Source organism: Homo sapiens, chromosome 10 (assembly GCF_000001405.40).
Source record: "Homo sapiens chromosome 10, GRCh38.p14 Primary Assembly".
NCBI classification, from domain to species: Eukaryota; Metazoa; Chordata; class Mammalia; order Primates; family Hominidae; genus Homo; species Homo sapiens.
In genome coordinates, this window is record NC_000010.11 from 122222156 (window position 1) to 122244768 (window position 22613).

Consider the following 22613-nt stretch of genomic DNA (forward strand, 5'->3'; position numbering starts at 1 on the left):
TGTGTGGCATGGTGTGAAAATAGGGCTGAAATTGGATGTGGTTTCACCCCCATGCCTGCCCTTTGAGGCTTAGGATTTGAAGCAGATGAGTGAAATTTTGAAAACCAAGTTCAGGAAGATGTTTTCTCAAAATAGCAGAGATCACCCAAGATGACAGGAGGAAGTATTTATTTTTTTTACATCCTCTCCAGGTCATTCTGTAAATTATAAATCAGGATCCCAAATGACCGTGATTGCAACAAGCAGGGCGTGTTCTGAAGCAGCATCTCCAGGCGTCTGCCACTCATCTGGGATTGATGGGGAGGAGTGCGGGCCTTCTGAAACCAGGCATCTCACAAATGCAAACACTAATGTGGGTGTCAGAGTACCCCACTTTTGCACCGTCAGTTGCTCCTTCTGAAGGGAGGAATGGGGACACAGGACAGTGGGAAGGGACTTCCTTTTGGCAGGTAGCAGAGAAGGCAGATGAGTGAGCTCCGTGACCTAAAACTCACCCAGATTCAGCCACCAGAAGAGCTGAGGTTCCAAGTGGGACACTTTAGTGAGGCGAGCTGGTTACCAGAGCCGGGCACTCGCCCGGGGCCACAGGCCCCTGGAAAAACTCTGCGGTGGTCTGTTGCTCGTTTGGTGTGTCCTGGGTGCCCTGTGCTGTACTGGAGTGTGCTTAGAGATTTCTGTTACATCATTTAGGGCATGTAATGCCTTGGAAATCGTAATGATACCTTAGAAGAGGCAGCTGATTCACTATTATTTTCTCAACTTAAACAGCTTATAATAGAACAGTAAAATGATAGTCCCAGAGTTTTATACTTGGAAAGTGATAGATAGATCTGGAAGAGACCCTAAATATCACCCTGTCCATCCCTGTCTCCTTCCTCCTCCTCTCTCTCTCTCTCTCTTTTTTTTTTTTTTTTTTTTGAGGCAGTCTCACTCTGTTACCCAGGTTGGAGTGCAGTGGTGCGATCTTGGCTCACTGCAACCTGTGCCTCCTGGGTTCCAGTGATTCTTCTGCCTTAGCCTCCCAAGTAGCTGGAACTACAGGTATGTGCCCGGCTAATTTTAGTATTTTTAGTAGAGATGGGGTTGGCCAGGTTGTTCTTGAATTCCTGACCTCAAATGATCCGCCAGCCTCAGCTTCCCAAAGTGCTGGGATTATAGGTGTGAGCCACTGTGCCCTGTCCTGCTTCTCATTTTTAAGGTGAGGAGGCGATTAAGACTTTACAAATTAATGCTTCTGTCTTAAGTTGGGGCAGACCCTGGGGTTCAGGCTTGGTGTGAGAGTTGGAAACACACTTTCTCTACTCATCTTTATTCAGGATGCAACAGGGCTTTCTGGCCTTTAATCACAAAACTGTCTTCGATTTCATGAGCTGGCCATGCTGAGTAGAAGGATATGTTTGCCTCACCAAGGGAGATTTAGAGATTCCTGAAAGATTGTCCACGTGTTTAAGTAGTTGAGGTTATTCAGCCATTTGCAGGTTTTATGAAAGTCCTCCAGGAAATAGCTCATTTTAAAGCTGATATTTTTTTGACGATGCCTTTAGCAATAGGCAGAAATAAAGGGGCTTTAAACCAGAACTGCTATTTATCTTTATTTTCATCTTAAAAAAAGTTGAAAGATTAAACTTGATGGATTGCCACTGATGCTTTTTCACAGTGGGTTTCTGAGCAGGTCACTCTTCACCTCTTGGTTTTCTTTTTAAGTAGAAAAGAGGTATCTGGTAGCTCTAGATTGTGGCTTCTGTGAAGACAGAAGTCCATTCTGGTCTTATCCACCACTGTATCTGCTATGCCTGGCACTGTGCAAACCATATAGGAGGTGCTTCATCCGTTTGCTGGATGGGGAGTTCAGTTGAGTGTCAGCTTAGTTTCCAGGTACTCGAGGCAGGCAGTGGTGTTTGCCGTCTCCATTGAGTGTATGGGATTTTCACCAATCAATTTGAAACAGGTCATTTCTCCACCCATTGGACTTTACTAGTCTTTGAGTTTGAAAATAGATTTGGACCAGCCCTGAAGACACTGGTAGAACCCTGGGAAAGGCTCCAGGTGACTTACAAAGCTTCTCTTAACCAGCAGCGCTGAAGGAACAATATCGTCCTTCCCTCACTTCAGAGGGTGGCCAGAGCTGAATACCCAGAGAGGGACAAGTAAGGGTCCAGTTCCAAAACATCATGAGGATGTATCATCCCACGTGTCTCACCTGACAGTTACAGAGGAAACCCGCACCCAGAATGCACGTGCTGTCTTATGGGAACACTCAGCGCAGAGTGCTCAGGTCTGGCCACACTTGGGCTGTGCTTGGTCGTGCCATGGAATTCCTCAGGACTTTCTCAGCCTCCCTAATGGCAGAAGCCCCTTTACAGCAAGACATTTACCGTTTGTCTGAAAATAGCCGAACTGAGCCTTTTCTTCAGGCTATATGAGAAGTCTCTAGACAGTGGGCACCGTCAGAAAGCCCAGAGCCTTGTGATAGCTCCCACCCTGCCTGGCTCAGATCTTCCCATTTTTTTCCTCTGGCACTAACCTCACCTTTTGTTTTTTTGTGTTTGTGTTTGTTTTTGTTTTTGCAGAGTTGGATTACAGAAACTCCTATGAAATTGAATATATGGAGAAAATTGGCTCCTCCTTACCTGTAAGTTCGTCTGCCTCGGGCCACTTAGGGGACTCGCTTTCCTGCCTTCAGGGGCCTCCTCCCCTGTGCAGAGTGTCTCTGGGAGCTCAGACCCCAAATCGAGTGTTTTCTGTGTACACAGCTTCCCGGGTGCACAGCAGTGATGGACTGGGGCTGGGGGGTTGAGGTTTGTACTCAATCCACTTCGTTTGACATTTTCAGGGAGAAAATGATAGAATACAATTAGACGTCCTGCAGAATTACTTTCCTAGACTGAGAAAGAGCTAGAGATTTCTTTAAAAAAAAAAAAAAAAGAGGTGGTGATGGTTTTTCAGGTATACGATTAGCTGTTTTTGAGAAATTGTTTTAATTAACTGAATATTTTCTCTGGGCAATAAGCCTTTCTCCCTGGTTTTTCATTTTAAGAGGTTATGATGGGCACTGTCTTTCCTGGCATAATACCTGCTGCCCTAGGGCATGTTATTCCAAGGGTGACCTCTTGCTGTTGTCAGCGATGCCCTCGGAGACGTGTGGCACACAGGAGGGCTTGCTTGCTTACAGCACTACGTGGCCCTGGATATGTTGCTCTTTATCTTTCTTTGCATTAGTCATAGATGCCGGGGTTACTGCTTCCAAACTGCAGGTTGCTGTAAGTTAGACCTGAAGGTTGGGTGGGAGAATGTCCCCATGCACAGGCTTAACTCATGCGCCACGTCAGTGAGATCACAGCTTCCTGAGTAAAGCACATGGGCTTTGTCATCATCCCCTTGTGCGTTGCTTAAAGAGCTTAGCTCTGTGGCCACACCTGTGTCCCCAGTAGCTGAGGCCATATACATAATACTGAGGGCGAGACATTTTACCGCTGAAGGGGAACTGTCGTGTGTTTTGAGATCTTTGATTTAAATGGATTGAAACCACAAGGGGCCCCTTCCTCTTGTGCCACCACCCACTGCCTGGTGCGTTGGCAGGCCTCGCGGATGAATTCGTGAGGAGCATGCCCTGCTCAGGAACAGCAGAGCCACCCAGAGATTTCATGGCAGTGCAGAGCAGCATACCTGCCGGCCGTTGCAGGGACTTATTTGGGGACCCCAGCAGGGCATGTGGAGGGGGTCTTTCAAGGTCTTCCCATCACTGAGAGATGCCAGTCCCACAGCCCCTGTTTCTAGTCCAGCTGAGTTGCTCTCCAGGCCCTGCCCCTGCCCTGGGCTCATTCAGCTATGGTCAGCCCAGGTCTAGGCTCTTGCCCTACCTCTCTGTTTATCTGCAGTGGCCAGCACAGCTCCTGGCCCAGAGAGCGTGCTCAGTAAATGTTGGTGAATTGAACAAAGTCCAGCTCACCAACGCCGTGGCGTCTTCTCCCCTGGCCACGTTCCTACTTGAACTCAGTTGTACTTTCTCTGCATCCTCCTTCCCTCCTGGCCTCCCCACCTCACTCCTAACCAGGCCCCACTTCCTCCTCTCTTCCTGGTGGCTCCAGAACAATGAAGGCTTTTCCCTGATGGGTTATTTGTTCTCTGTTGAAGAGTGCTCCAGTTTTCATCTCCGTTGCACGTTCAGGCCAACTGTACCCAAGCTGATATGTGATTTTGATCCCTGCAGCAGGACGACGATGCCCCGAAGAAGCAGGCCTTGTACCTTATGTTTGACACTTCTCAGGAGAGCCCTGTCAAGTCATCTCCCGTCCGCATGTCAGAGTCCCCGACGCCGTGTTCAGGGTATGACTTCCATGATGAGAGAGTTACACATCATGCTGGATGTTCTAAAGCCTCTGAGCACCTTCATGCTGTTATTTTGACTTCATTTCAGTGCATAGATTCAGGCGGCTGACATGCCACATATTTTTTTTTTTTTTAATAGAGACAGAGTCTCACCATGATGCCCAGGCTGGTTTCAAACTCCTGGGCTCAAGGGCTCCTCTCACCTCAGCCTCCCAAAGTGCTGGGATTATAGGCATGAGCCACAATACCTGGCCAGCCCACACTTCAGTCTCTCTGAATGTCCACAGGGACATAAACGCATTGGTTTTGTTACTGGCTACCCTTTGGACTAAAGTGAAATCCTTCAGCAGTTGACTGTGTGTCCCACTCCCTATAATCTCGCCCAGTGCACACACACTTTATTCCATCATTTGTCTAAAGGGGGACACTGTGGCCCAGCATTCAAAGCTCGAATCCCACCTGTACCCCCTCCTGGTTGTGTGACCTGAAGTGAGGTACTTGCCTCTCCTGGGCCTCAGCTTCCTTGAATGTAAAGTAAAAGTAATAATGAAATGGACCTTGCAGGGATTTGATGAAGATTAAAGGAGGCTATCCGTCTTCCAGAGCGTCCCCGAGCTGTGTGACGGGGAGAGGGCACTCTGTCTACCAGAGAGATGCTGTGTGTAAAGCTCTTGTTGAAGTACCTGGCACACCTCAAGTGCCTGGTAAATGTACATTATTGATATGGGTGTTCATGTTTGCATTTATGAGGGCTGATGTTTGGAGCAGTGCATTGTTTGATCAAGTAAGTGTGGGCATTGCTGTGAGATTTGGACCAGCCTATTTTTGTCTGCCTGCCCCTTTAAGCAGGAGTAAAAGTGCTTGCATTGACTTCTCAGACTTACAAAAGAGACTCTGCAGGCTGCCCAGGGTGGTGAGAACAATGATGATGGTGGTTATGTTGTTAAAACAGTAGTGGCACCAGGTGACAGGTACCACATTAAGTGCTTTACAGGCATGCAGCATCTCATTTAATCTTCACAGAGAGGTCCATTGTCTCCATCTTATAGAGAAGGAAATGGAGGCACGGTATCCAGTCACTTTCCCAGAGTCCACAACCAAGCAGCGGGTGGTCTGCTGAACTGCAGAGCTCGGGTCTGTAGCCAGTGGCATCTGTGCTTCTGCCCCTCCCTTGTCACTTGGTCCTGGGGTGACTGCCCAGCCTAGAGGCTGCATGGCCACTGGAGACCTGGCTCATATCCCTCTGGAAGTCCAGGATTCCTTGTGATATTGACTTGGTCAGGGCATCCTGGTTGATTTCAGTGGGTTTCCCAATGAGAAGACTAAAGAAAGATGCCCTTTGCTTCCCCCAGGTCAAGTTTTGAAGAGACTGAAGCCCTTGTGAACACTGCTGCGAAAAACCAGCATCCTGTCCCACGAGGACTGGCCCCTAACCAAGAGTCACACTTGCAGGTGCCAGAGAAATCCTCCCAGAAGGAGCTGGAGGCCATGGGCTTGGGCACCCCTTCAGAAGCGATTGAAATTGTAAGTGGAGTTGGAGGGCCCCAGATCACAGGGGATGAGGTGTGGGCCAGCTGCGTATTGTCACCAAGAAGGCCAGGCCTTCAGAGCAACACTCACCTGGCACCTGCCATGGGTCCCACCCTGACTCCCTGACCACAGAAGCCAACCTGGGAAATCCCATACCATGAGGATGAGGGGAAGGTTCTCTATTCCCACCAGTATGGTTTTGCATTTCCCACTTAAGTACTTTATATGCCTTCAGGGTTATTTAGTTTCCATTTTTTGCCACTTAGGACTAGACTGTTGCTTTAGGGCAGTCGTTAAGCAGTCCTCTGCCGCTTCGTCCTTGATGGCAGAGGGCAAGGGACCCTTTTTTGGGAAACAGTTAGTTTTCCTGGGACTTAGTGATGGGAATTTCTCCTGTTCAAAACCAGGACTTTTCCTCTCCCCAAGCCCTGTGGGGTCTTGCAGAGCAAACAGAGCTGAGCTGAAGGCCTCACCTACCCCCCAGTCCCTGCACAGCACACGTGTCACATGGCCTTGTGCATTCCCCAAAGTAAGCGATGCCCATGCCACGGTCTTCCACACATCTGAAATGCACCATCCTTCTAGGTGAATTTTAGTTTTATTTCCTCTACCTCCCGCCCAGCAATCCCCAAGCAGGTGTGAAGCCCTTGATTTAGTGTGTTATTTTTGTTGTTCTGTGTTAGTAGGCCATTTCTCTTGTGCATCAAATGTTTATTGAGCACCTACTATGTGTTTGGCAGTTGGATGCTGGGGTGGATACTAGAAAAACAATAGCAAAAAGAGGGTCTAGATGTGAATCAATCTCTCACATGAATACTCTGAAGCACACGTCCATGGTTCGCCTTCTACAAAGCTGGCTTCTGATTGTGAAGTCTTTCTGATCTATCAGAAGACACTTTTTCATTTGAAATCATCTTTCCGTGATTTAGAAAATGACCTTTACCAAAACCTTACTTCATATATATATATATTTGGAAGTATTTCTTGAAGAGTTATGTTACGTTTGGAAAACCCACCAGCTAACTGGCCTTTCACCTTCCGCTGGCTAGCTCCCACTCACTGACCAGGGAGTGAGGGTGGCGTGGGGGTGGGAGGACACTGAAGGCTATGCTTTTGGGGAGGGGGTCGGGTCTGCCAATCTCAAGATGTGCATTGTCAGCATGTGGGAATTAGTCTAGATGAAACCACAAGTAATGGCAGCTAATTGATACTCTCTTTAGCCTCAAGGCAAAAATGTCCAGCAAATGGCTGCATGGCCCTTGCTTGGAATCAATATCACTCTCTGTTCTCCTCTATTTTTCTTGTGTGTCCTCCTCTCTGCCGGCTTTCAGACAGCTCCCGAGGGCTCCTTTGCCTCTGCTGACGCCCTCCTCAGCAGGCTAGCTCACCCCGTCTCTCTCTGTGGTGCACTTGACTATCTGGAGCCCGACTTAGCAGAAAAGAACCCCCCACTATTCGCTCAGAAACTCCAGGTTTGTAGCCCACGTGTGACCTTTTGGGAGTTTGTCAAAACCTCAGTAGAGAATGAACCCCCGAGGCCCAAATGAAATAAGGCAGGATTTGATGAGGAACTGCCGAGAACGTTCCCAGTGACATATCTTCCCCTCAAAGGATGGTATATGTGACGTTCTTTCCCCACGATACCAAAGTGATGTAAATTGTGTGATTACATATTGAACAAACCATTTCTATTTCAATTTACAAACTGGGCCCAAATAGTCATTATTTAGAAGCATTGATAGCCCCCAAAGCAGTTTCTGTGATTTATTCACTGAACCAAGAATATTAGATCACCACTGAGCCAAGCCGTTTATATATACGTGGCTATCTCAGACTCCCAGTGAGATAACATCTGGGCTCAGTCTTGCATCTGGAACCAAAAACAATGATCTACTCTGTGCTTTAAATTTGACAACTTAATTTGATATCCTCTAGACTAGGGTGTTCAGAGCAAACCTAGAGAGATTGTTAACAGCCATCTGAGAGATGCAGCTCCATTCATGGAAACTATTGGCCAACTTTACCTTAAGAAAGAAAAAGGGAAAGAAATGAAAGAAAAGAGAACAGTAAAAATTTTGATCCCATTTTGAAAATCATTTCGTATTCAACTGCACAATACTTCCTGACAATCAGAAGGGTGATTTTTAGAAAAGGAAATTAAATGCTTATTTCATGATCTGCTGAGGTGCTAATTGTGAGAGAAAGGCGGAGCGCGTGTTTTTCCCGAGTGCCTGTCATGACACATTTTCGTGGCACGTTCATTTCTCGGATGTGGAAACCATTGACGTCTGTCTTGATGCATTTCCCTGCGGTTTGCCCACACTCCCTGTGGGCAGGAGGAGTTAGAGTTTGCCATCATGCGGATAGAAGCCCTGAAGCTGGCCAGGCAGATTGCTTTGGCTTCCCGCAGCCACCAGGATGCCAAGGTACCGGTTTGCTGCTGCGTGCGCCACCTCCTGAGAATGTCATGTGTGCCGCTGGGGTCCAGAAGCTGCTTTGCTAACCATCCGCCAGGCGGGCATCATCGGTGTCCAGCAAAGAGTCGTTTCCAAAAAGCTGAAAGCGTCACTCTTGCATAAATACACACTGAGCACATAGCTAAGATCCATTTAAGTCGATAATGCTAAACCGCGGGATAGTAATGCTGGTTAAATGAGAGAGAATACAGAGACCAATGTATGGGTCAGTAGGGTAAAGAAGGCTAGCCTAAGATGGCAAAGTTGGATAGAAAACTGGTTAGCACCAATTCAACAGAGCAAAACAAAATCATGACCTTTGAGGGTTTTTTTTTTCTACAGATACCATTTGCTTCTCTATTGAGCAAACATAATTTGCAACTTTTCTATTTTCTGCAAGTTAACATCTGACTTTGTTGAGACAAGGCCCTAATCAATAATACATAGTAAGTGAAACCAAGACATTTGATAATATTCTAGACCAGGCTTAAGCAATTCTTTCTGTAAAGTGCAAATGATAAGTATTTCCAGCCTTGTGGGCCGTACTGTCTGGCACTGTTCCAATAAAACTTTTATTTGTCTGTTTGTTTGTTTGTTTTTTTACAAAAAACGGCAGTGGGCCATTTGGCCTGTGGAGTTTCCCAATTCCTAGTTTTAGCATGGAGTATGACATTGACAGGGCATGCAGAAATCTTTTCGCCTGGCTTCCAAGTTTGGGGTAACTTTTATTAACAATTTGAATGAGTTGCTGATGACGTGCAGAACGTGTGTTTGCCCCTGGACTGCCCATGCAAACCTTGGTCTCTGAGGGCGGCCTCGTTCCCACCCCTCACCCCACCCCAAGTTGGACAGCCCGATGAACCTGGTGTGTCAGACTGTGCTCTGTGGCTTTGAACAAGTAGGTGAACCTCTTCGAGCCTTAGTATTGCCGTTCGTGAGATGAGGCCAATAATAGCCAGTGTACAGGTTGCTGTGAGGATGACAGATGTCTGGTGTGCGGAGAGTGGCACCATGCTTGACACATAGTAGGTGTGTGATAAAGGAAAGCTGCTGTTGTTAGCTGACACTTCCCTCTTGCTTCTGTTACCTGATCAGGTGCTCCCAGCATCTCTCCTCGGTGGGTGGATCCGGGTCCCATTTTACAGATGGGAGATGGAGCCACTTGACAGTGATTCACCAGCCTGTTGGGGACTAGAACTCAGGTCTCCAAGTGAGAGGCCCCTCGCTGGGTGTGGTGGTACACACCTGTAGTTCCAGCTACTCGGGAGACTGAGGTGGGAGGATTGCTTGAGCCCAGGAGTTCCAGGTTACAGAGAGCTGTGATCACTTGATTGCACTCCAGCCAAGGTGACAGAGCGAGACCCTATCTTTTAATTGAAAAAATACAAATGGGAGCCCCTGGCCTGCCTGCCTGGAGTAACAGCTCATCTGCAGGGGGGCAGTGAGGTCTGTGTCTCTCATCCTTGGTACAAGAGTAGGAGTTCCGGCTGCTGCTCCAGCCCTGAGGGCCCCGCAGTGAGGTCTCCTTGGCCATACCCAAAAGAGAGACCCCTCCCAGAGACAGTGGGTGCTTACACTGTGGGTGTGCAGGCTGGGAACAGCGAGACCCAAGGCAGGGACAAGAATGTCAATACAGATTGGGGATGTCCTCGTTCTTGTTGCCAAACCATAAGCTTAGGTTGAATTTCCATGAAAGCGAGATTTTTAGAAAGCATGAAGCAGTGAGGATTTTCCCCCCACTAGATTTATTTCTAGACATCCTTGGGGCCTAAAGACAGAATGAATTGCATGCAGTTTGGCCACTGTAAGTACCATGTATTCCTGTCCAGAGTTTGAGGTGGAATTGAGCATGTTTGGTGAGTAGCTCAGGGTGGATATGGAGTGTGCTGAGTGCTTTGGTCCCCCTGCCACCTCCTTTGGAGAGCGGCCAGAGATGACTGTTGGCAAATAATGGCCAGGAGTTGACTTTTTGTCAATTACAGGCTGTTCTCAGAATATGTGCCCCAATTCTGAGTTAGAAAATAGAGTCATGTGTGTTCATAGTATATAGGTCGGAGAGGCAGCCCAAGCCACCTCTTTTATTTCAGAGGCGTATGCTCAAAGGAGTATTCTGTGACTGTCTTGGAGTATATAGGGAATATTTTTCTCTAGCAGAGTAACTTGTATTGCTTTTGTTAAAAAGTGCATTACCTGGTGATGTTGGCCTGTGGAAAATAGATGGTGTTCCTGTAGCTACCCAGCCCGAGGGTGGTCCACGGGCCTGACCTCAAGTTGGTCCCTGTGGGTTTCTTTTTCATATAGAAAGATTGTTCCTTGCTGCATTGGAAACTCCTGATGCATAGGAAGAGAAAACAGCAGCTGTGTATCCAATTTGCCTTTTTTTCTGGCCATATATTTCAGCGGTAGGTGACACAGCTCTGTCATTTTGCCAACATGGTCTTAAGCTGTTGCTAGCACAAAGATGAAATCACTTGGAATGAAAAATATCATATTGCATGGATGAAAATCACCATAAGCTAGAGTGGGGAGTGATTTTCCGGTTGTTCCCTAGAGCAGCTTTGACTTCCATATCTCTCTAGACTGATGGAGAGCTGAGTCAGCCTTGCAGGAGCTGCAGTGGGGGTTTCTCCATCTCAGTTAGAAAATGTGAGAAATGAGGAGAAGTCCTTAGGGGCCGGGGTGTCAGGCTGCAGTCTCACCATTACTTTCCTTCCACATCCTTCTGGTCAAACGGAATTTGGTTGTGTCCTCCTGGGAGTGAACCTGACCAAGGTCACTGGAAATGTGGTACAGGAGCCCTGAATTTAACACTCAGCCACGTCAGATAGAACCTGAATGTTGTGTCTGGGTGGCTCTCCAAGAGGCACAGGCTGTGGGCCTTTCTGGATTGGGGGACCCAATATAAAGACGGAAGGATGTGTCTGGGTTCCTTAGGAACAAGGCCATACAAATAACAAGCTTCAGGAAGGGGGCAAGTCCTAGCAAGAGGCCCCCAGCACGGTTGAGTGGTGTGGCCCCTCAGTCCTGGCTTAGAAGAGGCCGATGCCTGGAGCTTACATGAGCAAGAGAAGGAGTTGGGGCCACCTGTGTTGTCGTTGAGCAGCCTGGCAGCATGCTCTGTGTTTCCCTCTCCATTGCTGTGTCACAGACTACCCCCACCCATACACACACATTGAGCCGAGGTTCAAAAGGAGGGAGACGTGATGCCCAAAAGCCACAAGTACAGCCTGAGAGGAGTGACAAGGACCAGCTCGCGAGCGCCTGTGTATTTGGCCGTTTGGAGCCTCTGTGGTCATTGGCTGGAGGCTGTGTCTTGACTCGGTGGGCAGGAGCGGCTGGCTGTTGCCAGTGGTGCCACCTGTGGGAGTGGCATAAGGCCTGATGCTGAGTGCCTCCCCATGATCACCGCTCCTGCTGGGCTTGGGGACTGCCTGTGGTCAGAATTGGATGGGGCAGCACCCAGCGGAGGCCACTCTCCTGCGCGGGTGGCGGCACATGACCTGGACACCCTCTGAGCACCAGGCCTGTGTCCATGCACCGTGGCCTTGGTCCAGGTGGCTGTCATCTCCCTAGCTCATCCTGACTCCTGGCCTCACCCCTCCGTGGCCCCTCTGGCATGGCTCTCCCAGCCTCGGATGGCAGGTGCTCTCCCCAGAATTGGCCTCTCTCTGCTCCAGGGGACAGGGATCCTGCCACAGTGCTAGCCCCTCCCCTCCATGTCTGGCAGCAGGGAACTGTCGACAAGGGGGCTACGATGCCACCCCCAGCTGCCAGCAGGAAGGACCCCAGGCACAGCCTGCAGGTCTGAAGTGGGTGACAGTGGCCAGAGGTTCTCACAGGTCGCAGGACTTCAGTGGAGTGAAGGTTGGAAATTGGTTACAAAGGCCATGCCTTCTGCGTCACAGCCATTTCACATTTCAATTTGTGATTCTAGTGGCTTTTTTTGGCCCCTCTAAAGTAGCAAGTGGGGGTTATGTGAGAGAAACAAAGCTTAATCTAAAAATGTCTGATCTTAAAATATCAGCGACAGACAAAGCTATCAATTTCTGTTAAAAACAATTCTTGGTTGTAAGGGGAAACCAGAGTGTACACAATGCATTTCATCAACATGCAGATACTCAGGCAGTAATTCAAGAGGGCTCTGAAGTCATCTGTTCCTTTATTGAAAACTCCAGGTGGCCGGGATGAAGGGGTCAGTGAACAGTCTACATGGTAGTGTCCATTTGAATTTTCTTAGAAACCCCATTATTTTACTTATTTTTTTTCATTCCCTTTCTTGTTTTACAAAGGATTTTAGGCAGCATAAAGATAATTAATTCCTTCATTAGTCATATTTAGTTTCTGCCCACTATGATAAAGTTAGTTTTAATTAAATCAATTTTCTCCTGCGCTGCAGGGAGCCTGCTTATTTTGATCAGAATTGAATCTCATTCTGGGAAACCTTGTGCCCCAGTCTCTGAGATTCTCCATTTTATTCATCTTCAGAAGGTCCACGCTGAGTTTGATGGTGACTAATGTTGTTTTCATTTTGAAATTTTATTGCTCATTAAAAAAAACACACACATTTGTTGACTTTAAAAGTGAATAGTTTTTGTTTTTCCTTTTAAAATCCTTTGCCTTTTTAAAATTTTTTTAAGACAGAGTCTCACTCTGTCACCCAGGCTGGAGTGCAGTGGCGCGATCTCAGCTCACTGCAACCTTTGCCTCCTGGGTTTCAAGCGATTCTCGTGCCTCAGCCTCCCCAGTAGCTGGGATTACAGGCATGCACCACCACACCTGGCTAGTTTTTGTATTTTTAGTAGAGACAGGGTTTTGCCATGTTGGCCAGGCTGGTCTTGAACTCCTGGCCTCAAGTGATCCACCTGCCTCAGCCTCCCAAAGTGTTTGGATTACAGGTGTGAGCCACTGCAACCGGCCCCCAATTTTTTTTTATTAAAAATTTTTCTAGAGATGAGATCTCACAATGTTACCCAGGCTGTTCTCAAGCTCCTGGCCTCAAGGGATCCTCCCACCTCAGCCTCCCAAAGTGTTGGGATTACAGGTGTGAGTGAGCCACCGCACACGGCCCAGAATTTTTTTCAGAATTGTGTGTTTATGAACTTTCTCCATAAGGACAAATATTGAGTCTTGATCTCTGTGTCATTTTTCAGCTACTTCCTGAGAAGTTCCCCCATGACAAGCAGAACTGTGAAACCCATTTTCCAATAGCAGAGATGAACCCCTGCATGTGAGGCTCCGGCCCTGCGGCTTGGTGGTGCCCTTGCTTCTGGGAGGTCAGCCTGCCTCTGCTGAGGGCTATTAGTATATATTCTGGTCAAGCGTCCTTAAAACGGGGACTTCTTGAGGGCCTGAGCCTGCCCTGTTCTCACATGAGCGAGTCTCTGGGGTCTGCTTGAAGGGGACTGTGTACTTCCATCTCTGGCCAGTGGATCATTTGGGTCCTGCTTCAGGGTCACCCCAAGTATGCAAGGCCAGGCAGGGGCCAAGAAACCCAGGCAACAGACGTTCAATCTTCCAGGACAACCGAAACTATATAGTTTCACCCTGCATGTATACAGCTAACTAACCGGTCCTAACTCAGTCATCTCCGGTCCTATCCATTAAACTTCTTGAGTTTTCCAAGCTGTCTCCCTTCTCGGGTTCATTTTCCCTGATGCTGTCGTAGGGTAGGCACGCCTGTTCTGGTGGTGGAAGAGACAAATTCTGCACAGGTACCTTTAGGTCCTCCCCCTTCCCAGTTAATGTTGGCTCTTTAATCTTACCTGCTGTCCTTGATAAGCCCTCATTATTCTTTCCCCAAATCTCTCTCTCTCTACTACACTGTGGTAGCCTTCCACCATTCAATTTCTTCTCATAATTTCCCAAGGGAAGAAGCAGCCTACTCTGCCTGTTAGAGCACTCTAGTATTGATAACTAGGGTAGAGGTTCGCTGGGCAGCCATGACAGCGCCACGAGGTTAATGCATAGGACTGAGAGTGTGGTTGGTTTGATGTTTCTTTTGCAGTAGAAGTAGACTGACAACCCGGCTGTGCTGGTCAGTGATGCTGCTAACACCGCATTTCAACTGTGTTGCAAATTGCCGAGCATTTTGTGCAAAGGGAAAAAGAATAACCACAGATTCCTCCTCCTCACCTGTGGGAGGCCAGTATCTGTCCTCCACAAAAGGCTGTAAAGCCTCAACCAACATCAGTTGGGTGGGTTGGGGTGGTGGATCATGCCACTTGTTCAGGGTCTAATCAGCAGATGTGGATATTGTCATTGACCCAGTTTTTAATTTTCCCATTAACGTAACAGACTTCATGGCAACAGAACTCTTACATAACTCTAACATAACTCCAACATAACTCTTACATCCAGAGACTCTACCTAGCCAAAGGTGATATTGGTTGACAACTACAGTAGGCTTTAAGCTTTGCGTGACTCACATCCTTTCAAACAGAGCTAAACAAATGCCCCCAAAATGGAAATGTAAACAGTCTTACAAAAGTGATCAAATCTGTGGTTATTCAAAACTAGGAAAACATAGACTAGAATTCAACATTATTCACCATTGAGATCTCATTTTGGAAGTGGAGGCTGCTGAATAGTGCCCTGGGTTCTCAGGCGCTGTGCCTAAGTGGCTCAGTGAGTGATAAATGGCAGAGATAAGCAGGTACCAGACATGCTGGACTCCAAGGCCTCGGAGCTTAAGGGGCCTCTGCCATTAGCCCCTTTGTCTGCCTGCCCAGGTGCAGAATGATAGATCTCCATCCATAGACTGGACTCGGCATTTCCCTGTTCATCAGTCTTTGCACTTTCTCATACTTTTGATGTTCTTTGTTTCAAAACCATACAATTGGCCCATTCATGAGAGGGTGAGTGTAATCCTCTTTGTCGTATGATTAATGCTAACTGTTTTTTTTTTAATTAAAAACGATTCCACAGAGAGAGGCTGCTCACCCAACAGACGTCTCCATCTCCAAAACAGCCTTGTACTCCCGCATCGGGACCGCTGAGGTGGAGAAACCTGCAGGCCTTCTGTTCCAGCAGCCCGACCTGGACTCTGCCCTCCAGATCGCCAGAGCAGAGGTATCGTGGCATGTGGTGTAATTACCCTCTTCCTGCCACTTATAAATACGTATGCTCGTGGTCCACAAAGCCAGAGTCTTTGGAGACAGACTTTGTCCTCTGAACGCTGCAGGCAAAGATGTGTGGCACACCATGCGTTTTGATCTTCCTAGACGCTATCGTGTAATGGGCCTTTTGGCCTTGTTGAATTTACAACAAAAAGCATGCCCCTTTCAGTTGCTCCCCAGTGGGCACTGTGAAAGTCTGATATCTGGCTGCTTTCTTTTTTATGCTCGGGGAAGTTCTCTGAATGTAATTATGGTTTGTTGTAGGAAGTTTTCATTCCACATTTATTCACCGTCTCCTTTTCTTGATCTATGAATTGCTCAGAGCTGAATTCACTCATTTGGGGCTAACCTTTCTCTTCTTCTCTCTGAAACTAGATCATAACCAAGGAGAGAGAGGTCTCAGAATGGAAAGATAAATATGAAGAAAGCAGGCGGGAAGTGATGGAAATGAGGTCAGTTGGGGAGCTGGGCCTTCCTCGTGCCTGAGGGATACTTACCTGTGGTTTAATAATGACCGGAGCTGGTGTGGTCCACAGAAGAGTGTCTTCTGTGGAAGTTCTCTCTTCTTTATTACACACAGTTCATATTTTTCTAAAAGTATTTTTACTCTATTACTATTACTAAAATAGCATGCACATGAATTAAAGAATGCATTCAAATAAATGTATGTACAATGCAAAACAGATCTCCCCACTCAGCCTCCAGTTCCACAACTCGCAGGTGACTATCTTCTGTTTCTGGTGGATCCTTCCAAGAATTTTCCATTTCTCATCACAAATGTAACAATGAGTGTAAACAGCCTCTTTTTTCTCCAAAATAAATGAGAGCTTGCAGTATACATCATTCTACACTCTTTTTAATTAATTAATTTATTTTTTTGAAACAGAGTTTCGCTCTTGTTGCCCAGGCTGGAGTGCAGTGGCGCCACCTCGGCTCACTGCAACCTCCAACTCTGCCAGGTTCAAGTGATTCTCCTGCCTCAGCCACCCAAGTAACTGGGATTACAGGCGCCTGCCACCATGGCTGGCTAATTTTTTGTATTTTTAGTAGAGTCAGGGTTTCACCATGTTGGCCAGGCTGGTCTCAAACTCCTGACCTCAGATGATCCACCCGCCTCGGCCTCCCAAAGTGCTGGGATTACAGGCATGAGTCGCTGCGCCTGACCCACCACTCTTTTTAAATTTAATAGCATATTTTTGACGTATTTTTTATTCCTCTCTGCCTCACTCTGTTTAACAGGTGCTTAATGGTCCATTGTATGGATATAACGTAATTAATTTAAACAGTCTCTGTGGACAAACATTTAGGATGTTTCCTGACTGTAGCTTAAATGATTTATTTTCATTTGTGGTATGTTGTAATAGAAATATAGTCACCATGTATAGTGTACATAAGTGCAATGGCCGATACTAGTTTTTTTTGTGTGTGTGTTTTTGAGACGGAGTTTCCCTCTTGTTGCCCAGGCTGGAGTGCGATGGTGCGATCTCAGCTCACTATAACCTCCGCCTCCCGGGTTCAAGTGGTTCTCCTGCCTCGGCCTCCCAAGTAGCTGGGATTACAGGCACCTGCCACCATGCCCGGCTAATTTTTGTTTTGTATTTTTAGTAGAGATGGGGTTTTACCATGTTGGCCAGGCTGGTCTTGAACTCCTGACCTTAGGTGATCTGCCTGCCTTGGCCTCCCAAAGTTCTGGGATTACAGGCATGAGCCACTGCACCCAGCCCCGATACTAGTTTATTATCAAAATCAATTGCATTCCTGGCTACCATTTTAAGCAGAAAAGCGAACTGTAGGTAATCATATCCCGTTTTCTAGGTCATCGTAGGATCTTCCTGAAAATTCTCCTGTTCGTTCCTTCTTTCTGCTGATGGTTCCCTGTGACCACCTCTGGACATTGAGCCTAGCGTGCTATTTCACATTCAAACGAAAGCCCTGCATTTGCATTATTTTTAAACCTCTTTGTTTTTTCTCTTATTTGGGGGTATGGGTGGTTCTAGTTTTTTTACATGCACTGAAAATGAGGCATGGCACCCAGGAAGGCTGTAAGTTCTGTCTCTAATTTCTTTTGCCTCCTGGGAGCTTTGCCTTCTTGGTGCCTGGGGAGTGCTTATTCGTGGTTTGAGAAGTCGTACCACTGAGGGGCCCCCAGGAGGTGCCATTTACTAGCTGATGTGGTAGGATTTCAAGATGTCACCAGCTGGTGCAGATGTACCGGCATTTGGTAGCCCGAATGTCAGCCCGTCAGCCTCTGGAGCTAGACTAGGTGAAAACCAGGCTCTGCTTCCCAGCCACTCCGGGGCATCTTACTTAACTCTGCCTCACTTTGCTTATTAACTTGAAAATGGGGGTAAATAACAGTGCCTCAACAGAGTAGAGCAGAAGGATTATGAACAAAGGCTGCGGAGTGTGATGCTTGGATTCACATCTGGGCTCTGCCACTTGGCAGCCTTGGGATCCTGGAAGAGTTTCTGAATCACTCTGACTCCACCCCAGTGTCTTCATCAGTAATGCTGGGAACAGTGAGAGCACTGCCTCTTAGGGTCATTGTGAGGGTAAAGTGAAAAAACAGCACAGCTAAGGTATTTTCAGGTCCCCGGTCTCTCCACGCTTCCAAAAGGACACGTCCCTTACCTCCTTGTGTCCTCAGCAGTGATGAGTGGTTAGACAGGGCAGCCTCAAAGATCTATCACAGCTTGGTGATTCTGAGATGCAAGGAGGTGTTGTTTAATGGCAGAAAACACAGAATTGCTCCTGTGTAGGATTTGGAAAGAACCCTCGGAGGCTCATCTCATGGTTACCTTTCTTGGGAGTCCATTCTGGGGTGAGACACTGACCTTGGGACCAAGGTTGAGCAGCCAAGGGCAGGCACCCAGCATTAGACTTTGCAGAATGCATTCTACCTTCATTATCCCTTTTACCCTTATTGAATTTCCCATACAGCCCTGAAAGGTGGGGTCTAGGAAAATCCTTACTCTACCAAGGAGTAAGCAGAGCGCCCGCAGCTTCCATGAATGTCGTGCTCAGGGTCACACAGCTGGGAGGGGCAAGCTCAGCGGGATCCCAGGCCTCCTGACCGGGGTGGGGGTCTCTATGGTTTTCTGTCATTAGGGTCCTGGATCTTCAACAGTTATCCGCTCTTGGTTCTCTTGTGGGGAATAATTATTGGATAATGTAGGTGAACCCCTGATTCTTTTTGAGAAGTTTCTTCCAGCAGATTGGCTTTGGAGAAAGGACGTCTTCACACATCAGTCCTTCCATTTGGGGACAGCTGGGAGGCAGTATGACAAACAGGGGATCTTAGTGCTTTTGTGCAGTTACTGTCTATTGAGGCTTCCCAAGAAGTTTACTCTGGGCCAGTAGGAGATGAGATTTGTGTTCAGTGATGCCAGATGCATGAGATGCTTTGGAAGAAGATGCGGATAAAAGGTAATAGGGTTCCAAGGAGAAATCAAGGAAGGCTTCTTGAAAGAGACACCATTTGAATTGGACCTTGAGAAACAGACTGTGAGGGGTAGAAATAGAGAGAAAGTGAATAACATGGGCAGAGGCATGGGGATGAGAAGGCCGAGAGCAAACAAGAAATCGTTGGTTCTCGCTGAGCCACTGTGTTCATGACGTGGTGTGGAAGGAGGTAAGATGGATGAGGGAGGTTGGGCCCAGGTTGCAAAGACCTCAGTTGTCGGGCTGGAGGTTTGGCTTTATTTTTAATTTTTAAATTTTTTTAGAGATGGAATCTCGCTCTGTTGCCCACGCTGGAGTACAGTGGCACAATCATAGCTCACTGTAGCCTCAGACTCCTGGGCTCAAGTGATCCTCCCACATTAGTCCCTCGAGTAGCTAGGATCACAGACGCAGACCACCACACCTGGTTAATTTTGTATTTTTTGTAGGGATGGTGTTTCACCATGTTGCCCAGGCTGGTCTCGAACTCTTGGACTCAGGCAAACCTTCTGCCTTAGCCTCTTGAGTAGGTAGGACTACAGGTGCACACCACTATGCCTTATTAATTTTTTTTTCATTTTTGTATAGGCAGGATCTGGCTGTGTTGCCCAAGGTGGTCTCAAAATCCTAGCCTTAAGTAATCCACCAGCCTCAGCCTTCTCAATACCTGGGACTGCAGGCATGCACCACTCTACCTGGTTTGATTTTTTTTCTTAGTGGGCAGTGAGGGATGTTGAAGGCTTTGCACAAGGGAGTGGCATATTTAGAGTCACGCACCAGGAAAATGAGCGTGCAGGGCGAGGGCTGACATTGAAGGTGACCCTGGAAGTTGGGGCCCTGCTGGACATGGGTCAGGCTGTGGCGTCCAGCTGTGTGAGATGGAAAACCATTCTGTTGTCATGACTCCAACGTGTCTTTACTTCTCTTATAGGAAAATAGTGGCCGAGTATGAGAAGACCATCGCTCAGATGATAGGTAGGTGTCCTGACCTGCGGGGGCTCAGGCCGGCCCCGATGTTTCTGAACTATGAGGAGGCCTTGGAAGATAGGAGGCTCAGAGTGGGTTTCTGGTAGAGCGTGAAGCCTTTCAGGGAAGGACCAGAGCATTCCAGAAAATATGGCTTTGCCCCAGGACAGAGTCTGGGGCTTCTTGGTAACACCCCCCTGAACTGTGCCATAGCATTATTCACACCCATGGAAAGCCATGGCAGTCACCTGCCAGCCACCATCTGACTCAGCCAAGGACTCTCTACTTTGTGGGGAAAGAGATTCCTTTTGGGTGGGATATTTGGGGGATTTTTTCTTTTCGCTTGTGGGAGATAATAGGAATCAAATCCCTAGACCCTAACTTAGTTTAGACTCAAATGACACCTCAGCCTTTCCACAAGGACCCAGGGACAAGGACAGTGGACCACGGCGTGATTGTCCGCCTCCTTCCTCCCGTGACCATGGCAGGCCCTGTTCACTGACCCCAGCACTGTTTCTCACTGAGATTGGACGCTGCCTCGGAATCCTTCTTAACACGGCGTCCCTGGCAGCCAGTACTGAGAAATTTGCTTTGGCTCACAATAAAAGAAGGCCTCAAGTTATAAGCTACACATCCCTGGGCCTTTTTTTCTTTTCTTTTCTTTTTTTTTAAATAATGAGAAAAGATCTTGCAGAAGTTCTAAGCCCAAGTTTTTATGCTAATGGTCACTATTCAGAAATCATATTATAACTGGGTCTGTGGGATTTTTTTAAAATTAATTAATTATTTGCTTAGGTTTATGATAATCCATTTTTTGTTTGTTTTGGGATGGGGTCTTGCTACGTTGCCCAGGCTGGTCTCAAACTTCTGGGGTTTAGCGATCCTCCTGCCTTGGTTGCCCAATGTCCTGGGATTACAAGGCGTGAGCTACCATGCCCAGCCCATGATAACCAGTTTTGTTGTTGTTGTTTGAGACCGTCTCGTTCTGTCACCCAGGCTGGAGTGCAGTGGCACGATCTTGGCTCACTGCAACCTCCACCCCCCAGGTTCGAGCAATTCTCCTGCCTCAGCCTCTCAAGTAGCTGGGATTATAGGCATCTGCCATCATGCCTGGCTAATTTTTGTATTTTTAGTAGAGACGGGGTTTCACTATGTTGGCCAGGCTGATGTTGAACTCCTGACTTTAAGTGATCCACCTGCCTCGGCCTCCCAAGGTGCTGGGATTGCAGGCGTGAGCCGCTGCACCTGGCCCGATAACCAGTTTTTTTTCTTCTAAGGATATATGGAGTAAAAACTCCAGGTCACTGCAGACCACGCTTTATGTGTCCAAGTTTGACACTGTGCTGGCACCTGGTCCCCACCCCCAAGCATATGGATGTATGAGTCACATCACACCTCTAGCTTGTCCCAAGGTAAATATAATAGTAGCCTCAGGAAGAGTGAAGAGGCCAACAATTGAGTGCTTTCCATTCAAAGGAGCTTCAATTTTGATTTATTGTAACAAAGTTCATTTCACCCAGAAAAGAAGCCCTTTCATGTTTAGCCTCATGGTGCATGCTTCCTATCAAAGTGAAACTTCTTTATTAAATTGGTATAAGAATTTATGAACACATATGGATAAGATAAAAAAAAAAACTCTTGGAGTTGAAAATGCTGGCAAAAATGGTCAGGCTAAGGGATTGATGTCTTCCTTATGTGGTGTTTGGCAAGTAGAACACAACTTTTTGGCCTCCTGGAGTCTTGGGATTTGAGAACATCACTCAGGCCCTCCATAGTTCATCTGGAAACATCCTGCTCCATCTCAGAGCCATACACTTTCATTTTTGCCCTTGGTGATGACATTTTGGTAAATGTTGAAATGCGGGGGAAAGGGTGTGAGCTTTTGCTCCTGAGAGAAAGCTACCCAAGCCATCTTTTATTGCTCAGCTGGCGAAGTTGATATAAACAGACATTCCCTCTTGAAAATTAAAAGTGGAGAATTTCTCTAGTTGGCATAAATGTCCTGTCCTTGTCATGACAGAAAGATTACTCCCACGGTTTCCTCAAAGAATATCTGCAGGTGACAGCAGTGAGGACCTTTTCAATCCTAGGCAGTGTGAGTTCCCTCCAAGCCCTGGAGAGAATGCCACCTGCCTTCCTCTCATCCTGGTGCCAGGGGTTAGGGCCACACATCACCCCCCATCCCCACCCCTGCTCCCTGATGTGTTTGGCCTGAGGGGCCCTCTCTTCAAGAGCTGTACACACAATCCCTTAGAACATTTTCCTGTCCTTGGGGTACTCTCTGGGTGGCCCCTGAGACTCCTCCAGTGTCCCTGGCTGGGAGCAGCACTGCCACACAGAGGGGCATCTCACTGTGTGTCCGTTCCCCGATCCCCATCCTCATTCACCCATTGACCGTCCTCTGTCATTCCAAGGCTTTTTTCATCAGGTGACAGGCCTGTGGTTGTCATTCCTTCAGCCACTGTTGCAGGTCATTGACTAAGGTCACCGTAGATTTCAAGGTCCTTGTGTCCTTGTGGAAGACAGCAGGGGGCTGAGGCATGGCTGGGACTCACTGTGGCTCTTGGCAGGACGTGCCTTCTTTCTGGCACGGTTCAGGTCAGGGTCTCTCCATGCTTGGTAACATGCCCAGGAGGCCCACCTGGGTTCCATGCTTTTCTTTCCATTTTCACTCACGTAACCAGCATCCCTTGTGAAAGAGGAAACTCAGGCCCAGAGAGATTGGCAGTTCAGGACCACCGTGACTGTAGTCGTATTTTGAAGTCAAACCAGCTCC

At 47.6% G+C, this 22613-nt stretch overlaps 1 protein-coding gene across 55 annotated transcripts in view, besides 1 other annotated feature; it reads left to right on the forward strand.

Moving 5' to 3' along the window:
- TACC2 (transforming acidic coiled-coil containing protein 2) overlaps positions 1-22613 on the forward strand; it is a 265380-nt gene that overhangs the window by 232993 nt on the left and 9774 nt on the right. For 29 of the 55 annotated variants that reach the window (NM_206862.4, NM_206861.3, XM_024447756.1 and 26 more), the window contains 8 exons: positions 2571-2632; positions 4211-4326; positions 5682-5853; positions 7191-7331; positions 8196-8285; positions 15240-15383; positions 15806-15882; positions 19803-19846. In NM_206862.4, the coding sequence (NP_996744.4) occupies positions 2571-2632; positions 4211-4326; positions 5682-5853; positions 7191-7331; positions 8196-8285; positions 15240-15383; positions 15806-15882; positions 19803-19846 (846 nt within the window). The remainder of the gene's footprint in view (positions 1-2570; positions 2633-4210; positions 4327-5681; positions 5854-7190; positions 7332-8195; positions 8286-15239; positions 15384-15805; positions 15883-19802; positions 19847-22613) is intronic. The other 26 variants (NM_001291877.2, NM_001438366.1, NM_001291876.2 and 23 more) reach the window with 2 other exon arrangements.
- Positions 11264-11764: an enhancer, noted in NCBI's record as "H3K4me1 hESC enhancer chr10:123992934-123993434 (GRCh37/hg19 assembly coordinates)". NCBI's record gives its function as "activates a minimal SCP1, AML or CMV promoter by ChIP-STARR-seq in naive H9 embryonic stem cells {active_cell/tissue: H9 hESC(naive)}" and the evidence as "EXISTENCE:reporter gene assay evidence [ECO:0000049][PMID:30033119]".